This window comes from Homo sapiens, chromosome 20, assembly GCF_000001405.40.
Source record: "Homo sapiens chromosome 20, GRCh38.p14 Primary Assembly".
NCBI lineage: Eukaryota > Metazoa > Chordata > Mammalia > Primates > Hominidae > Homo > Homo sapiens.
The window spans coordinates 50369058-50375072 of NC_000020.11; the positions used below are offsets into that span (position 1 = coordinate 50369058).

A 6015-nucleotide genomic window follows, 5' to 3' on the forward strand; every position below is an offset into this window, starting at 1 on the left:
GTGCTATCACTTCTACTCAATCCCATTGGCTGGAGCTCAGTCATATGACCATGCCTAACTGCAAAGGAGGCCGGGAAATAGAATCACTATCTGCCGATTATGTTAGCATGTTTCCCACTAATGCTCCAAAATTCTCTCAGTATGAGAAAAAAGCTGATGGATGTTGGTGGACACTGATGGTCCTGCCACACTCACCCCCACAGTGCCAGTCATGGACTTATCTCTGCCCAGCCAGACTGTGAGCTCCCTAAGGACAGGGACCATATATGGTGGTCATTGCAGCATCCCCTGCAACTCACAGAGTGCTGGTTGTGACATATGGCAAATCAGAGTGAATTGCAGAGGCCGGAAATACAAGGTGGAGAAACTGAGGCAGGCACCAGTTGAGTTCCACACACATTTTCTGGGTGCTGATTACACATAAGAACCCTGGGCTTGGTCCCGGTGCCTGGGGGGCAGCAACACTTGTCTGGCCTGGCAGTGTCCCCAAAAGCACCCAGTTGGGGGCTGCAAGGCCCCACCCGGTGGGGAAGCTGCAGAAACAGAGCAGAGTCCACAGTCAGAACAGGAGGCGCCACAAGGGCCTACAGGTAAGGCAGGTCCCAGGCCCTCAGCCCACCTGGCCCTGGCCCTGCTGCACTCTTGGCCACTCCCCAACATTATCTGGCCTTGGGCCCAGCCCTGAGCACCTGCCCTTCCCTGCTCTCCCGAGAGGCCTGAGCTGGGGTTCCCCTCCCCTGTCGGCTGCCGTGGGAAAGGCCTTATGGTAGCTCTCAAGGTCCAAGTTCCAGCCTCAACAGCTGCCGTACTTGCTATTCCCTCTGGCCAGACCTCCCTTCCGTGCTGCTCTAGCTTCTCCTGCTCTCAGCTTAGACGGCACCTCCTCACTGTCTCCAAAGACCACCGCCCACCCCGGTGCCTCTCCACCACATTGTGCATCTTGTTGCTTCCCAGCATGGGTCTGTGTGGGGTCGTAGGGGAATCCTGCTCTTGTTCATTCATTTGTTGGCTTCTTTGCTCGCTGTCTCCCCCAGTAGAGACATGGACATTTTCTGTCTTGTTTTCCACTGTATCCAGAGCCTAGCCCAGGGCCTGGCACCTAGTAGGTGTTCAGGTAATATCTATGGACTACCTACATACACACACAGTGAGGAAAGACAAGAGAATTAGCACTCACTGCACTCGTATGACATGCCAGCGCATGCGTTGTTCACTCTGAGGCCCACGACATCATTGCCTGGTTGGAATCATTATCTCCATTTCACAGTGGAGGAAACTGAGACTCAGAGAAATGAAGTGACTCGACCGAGGTTACGCCAATAGGAAGGGCCAAGTCTCAGACGGGGGGGGATATTTATAACGAAATGCAAAGATCTTGGAGGAGGGGGTGGATTCTTGGTTGTACACATCGATCAAAGCTCATCAAACTGTACAGTTGAAATCAGAGGTTCTCAACCAAGCATGGTTTTACCCCCAGGAGACATTCAGCAAAGTGCAGAGACATTTGGTCATCATGGGGGTAAGCAATGCTACTGGCATCTCGTGGGTAGAGGCCAGAGATGCCGCTCAACATCCTACAGTGCCCAGGACAGCCGCCACAGCAAAGAATTATCTGACCCAAAATGTCAGTAGTGCTAGGTTGAGAAACTCTGCTTTGAAGGAATGTAGTTTACTGAACACAAATTATGTACTCCATTTATTAAGGCATAATCAATGCATTTTTTGTAAAATAGAAAAAATAGAAAAGAACTAACATAATTGGAAAAGAAAGGAACCAACTAAGTACAAAACAATGGCCACATAATTTAAAAAGGCAAAGAACAGATCAGAAAATACAAAGAGCCTATATGTAAATGACAAGGGGCTCCACCTTAATACTAATAAGGGAAATTCAAATTATAACAAAAAGCTGGGGGGTTGCCTCATGTCTGTAATCCCAGCTCTTTGGGATGCTGAGTTAGGAGAATCACTTGAAGCCAGGAGTTTGGGAGCAGCCTGGGCAACATAGTGAGACCCCATCTCTACAAAAATTTAAAAATTAGCTAGGTGTGGTGGCGTGAGTCTGTAGTCCCAGCTTCTCAGGAGGCTGAGGCAGGAGGATCGCTTGAGCCCAGGAGTTTGAGGCTGCAGTGAGCTATAGCTAAAAAAAAAATTACAACAAAAATAATCACAATGGGAAAAAATTTTTTTAAATGACAGATGGGGCCAGGCGCGGTGGCTCACACCTGTAATCCCAGCACTTTGGGAGGCCGAGGCAGGCGGATCATGAGGTCAGGAGATTGAGACCATCCTGGCTAACATGGTGAAACCCCGTCTCTACTAAAAATACAAAAATTAGCCGGGCGTGGTGGCGGGCGCCTGTAGTCCCAGCTACTCAGGAGGCTGAGGCAGGAGGATGGCGTGAACCTGGGAGGCGGAGCTTGCAGTGAGCCGAGATCGCGCCATTGCACTCCAGCCTGGGCGACAGAGCAAGACTCCGTCTCAAAAAAAAAAAAAAGACAGCTAGGCTGGTGAGTGTGGGGGAAGTAGGCCCTCTCATCCTCTCCTTTGTGGATGGAGGGAGTGCAAACTGGCAAAGCCCTGGCGGTGGTGTGGTAGCACTTTGCATCATTTGTCTAGCAATCCCAGTTGTGCAGAAATACACATGCGCTCAGAGAGCTGTGTGCGGATGCTCACTGTGGTATTGTTTATAATAGTGAAGTTTAGGCTGGAAAACTAAATATCAATGAAATCAATGAACGTGGAATTAGGTAAATAAACCATGGTGCATTCATGCCATGGAATACTATGTAGCAGATCAAAATGATAAGGCAAATCTCTACACACATAGTTAGGCGGAACAAAAAAAGCGGGCTGCAAAACCACATTTGCAATCTGTTTCGAATCAGGTGGCACAAAAGAAATCCAGGGCCCAGGCCGCTAGCGCTTGCCATCATTCATCACCCCTTCTCCCCACTTTTGAATGGGGCGGCAATGTGCCCAAGTGAAATAAGACCTCCCCAGCCTCCCCTGAAACCACGCGGGTGCAATGTAGTAGCCATGAGACCCAGAGCGCACACACTTTGTCCCTTCCCTGCCCTCTTGCCTTGCTGAGAAGCAACCCTCTTGAGCCAGGAGTTTGAAAGTCACATACCAACATGGGAGACCAGGAAGCTGGTCATTGGTGATGTCCCTGAACAAGCCTACAAGCCCAGACTTGCTCACCTCTAGACTTCTTTTTACACAAGAGAAGTGAACTCCCATTGGGTGAAACCCTGGTGTTTGTTATTTTTTACTTGCAGCCAAGTGCAATTTCAGAGGCAGCAAACTCACTGGGGAGGAGGACGGTTGAGTCTTCTGCAACAGAACTGTATTCAAGTGTCATTTACATAGTTAAGACTTTTCTAAAATAAATCAATACATCAAATAAAGCCTGTCTGGCTAGAGTCTGTGGGACTCTTGCTGTTTCTTTCAAAAAGTGTTTGTTGATTGGCTCAGGTCCCTCTCAACCCAGGCAAAAATGCCAAGGGGAAGATGGAGGGACATCGAGGGGTTTCCCTGTGACCTGCTGAAGGAGAGGTTGGAATGCTGTTTTCTTAGGAAAAGCTCCATTTTCCTGGTAAGAGGACTAGCGCCTGAGTCTCTCACTCCAGGGAGGCTCAGGGGTCAGTCCAACCAGCCCAACCCGGGCTGCCCCTATCATAATTGGTGACCCTCTAGCCTAGACATGCTAGCCTCCAGGCAGTGACCTGGCTGTCTCTCCCACCTGTTTGTCCTCTTCCCAGAAGGAGGATGCTCCCTTTATCTCAGGCCAAAGTACCCCCCTCACCCTCCCAGGGAAGGGGAGGAATGCCACCTGTCATCACGGGATGGGTGAGTCACCTCTTACTGGCTGGAGGCCATAGCCAGCCCAACCTCTCTCTTTTGCCCCCTAGCTCTCCCCTGTGGGTGGGGAACGATGGGAATATCACCCTAAAAATCGTGACAGCAACAGCTGCCATCTCTGTGGCATGGAACCTGTCACTGGAAGCTTGAGTGCACAGCCCTGGGTTCCAAGCCCAGCTCTCATGTTCTAACCTGGTGATCTGGGGGGAGTCACCCCTTCCTGATCCCCATTTATGCATTTGGCAAACGTTTATTATGCAAGCACTCTGAACCGGGCAGGGGGTGCTGAGGATGCCACAACGAACACCCCGAAACAATCCTGCCCTGTGGAACCCATTAGGTAGAGACGTTCAAAACTAACAATAATGATAATGTTAATAAATTTTAAAATTCCGAGTGTCAATTGGTGATGATGTCACAGAGAGAAGGGGCGAGGAGTGCTGGTGCAGAGGTCTTGTTCATGTAAGCAGGTGGTCTAGGACGCCCTGAGATACTTTGAAAATGGAGGAAAGGGCTGGGTGTGGTGGCTCACACCTGTAGTCCCAGCACTTTGGGAGGCCAAGGAAGTCAGATCACCTGAGGTCAGGAGTTTGAGACCATCCTAGCCAACATGGCGAAACCCTGTCTCTACTAAAAATACAAAAATTAGCTGGGCGTGGTGGTGAATGCCTGTAATCCCAGCTACTCGGGAGGCTGAGGCAGGAGAATTGCTTGAACCCAGGAGGCGGAGATTGCAGTAAGCCAAGATCATGCTACTGCACTCCAGCCTGGTGTCTCAAAAAAAGAAAGAAAAAAGACAAAGAAAAAATAAAATGGGGGGAAGACCTGGAGGAGGTGAGAGAGGGAGGCTTGTGGTTCTCTCAGGGCACAGAGTCTCAGGAAGAGAGAACAGCAAGTACAAAGGTCCTGAGGCTGCCGTGTGACTGATGTGTTCCAGGAGCAGGGAGGAGGCCAGTGTGGCTGGAAGGAAGATGCCAGAAAGGCAGAGTGGGGGTGTACTACCACACGGGATTTAGGGACACTGCCAGGACCTTGTCTTTGACTGTGGGTGACATGGGAGCCAGAGGAGGGTGTTGAGCAGAGGAGAGATGTGATCCGACTTCCTTTGGGTAGCAAGACAATGATGGAATGGGGGAGGTAGTTCGGAAGCCATGGCAACAATCCAAGCACACACACTCATGCCAGGGCGGGGCTGCGGACCTTGGAGGGTGGTAGGATCCTGGATGCAGGCTGTGGATGGGAGGTGGTGGGGCAGAGGCTAGAGAAAGAGAAGAGTCAATGAGGACACTCAGGTGTTTGGCCTGAGCCCCTGGAAGGAGAGAGGTGCCACTTTCAGAGGCAAAGACGATGCAGGAGAGGTAGGATCCTGCTGGAGGAGGCGTTTGGTTTCTTACCTGGGATGTCCGAGATGCCTGTTAGGCATATTGAGTCGTAGCTGGATATTCAAGACTGAGTTCAAGGCAGGAAATGTATGGTTAGAGGCTTTTAGCTTGGAGATAGTATTTAGAGACTCAGTTTCTTTGTCTGTAAGGTGGAGATTAAACAGCATCTGCTTTGCAAGGTTGCTGTGAGCCTGGGTTGAGGACTGAGAGTTCATGGGCAGGTAGCAAAGTGCAGGTAAATGTCAGCTCCGTTACTTCCACACCCAGCTCACTCAATCCTCATGAGGTCGTTATTATTGCCATCAGCTTTAATTTTACAGGGAGTGGAGGTTCAGAGAGGTTAAGTGACTGGTCCAAGGTCACATAGCCTGAAAACAGCGCAGCCAGGATCCAAGGCTGAATCTAGAGTCTTGTTCTTGGCTTTCTACCCTGCTGCCTCCTCCCTGCTCTCCCAGCACCAGGCCCTTGGATCTTGAACTGATCAGACTTGAGGGGCTCCCAGTTGGGAAGGGAGACAACCGTGAGTGGAAATGCCTCCAGGCAGACAGGACCTGAGCCTGCCCCACTAGGGGGCAAATTAGAAGGGGGGCCAGTGAGGCAGCACAGCCATGTGGTTAAGGGAAGCACTGTGATGCCAGACCACCTGGGTCCAATTTGGCTCTATCCTCACTAGGTGTGTGATCCTGGAGATGTGACTCATGTTTATTTGTGCCTCAGTTTCTGCTGCTGTGAAATGGGATAATACAGGTTATTGGGAGGACTGAATGAG

The 6015-nt window shown here is 50.6% G+C and overlaps 2 annotated features.

Moving 5' to 3' along the window:
• Positions 3122 to 3322: a silencer, noted in NCBI's record as "peak4249 fragment used in MPRA reporter construct". NCBI's record gives its function as "represses an SCP1 promoter by STARR-seq MPRAs in K562 erythroleukemia cells {active_cell/tissue: K562}" and the evidence as "EXISTENCE:reporter gene assay evidence [ECO:0000049][PMID:32103011]".
• Positions 4480 to 4980: an enhancer, noted in NCBI's record as "H3K27ac hESC enhancer chr20:48990074-48990574 (GRCh37/hg19 assembly coordinates)". NCBI's record gives its function as "activates a minimal SCP1, AML or CMV promoter by ChIP-STARR-seq in primed H9 embryonic stem cells {active_cell/tissue: H9 hESC(primed)}" and the evidence as "EXISTENCE:reporter gene assay evidence [ECO:0000049][PMID:30033119]".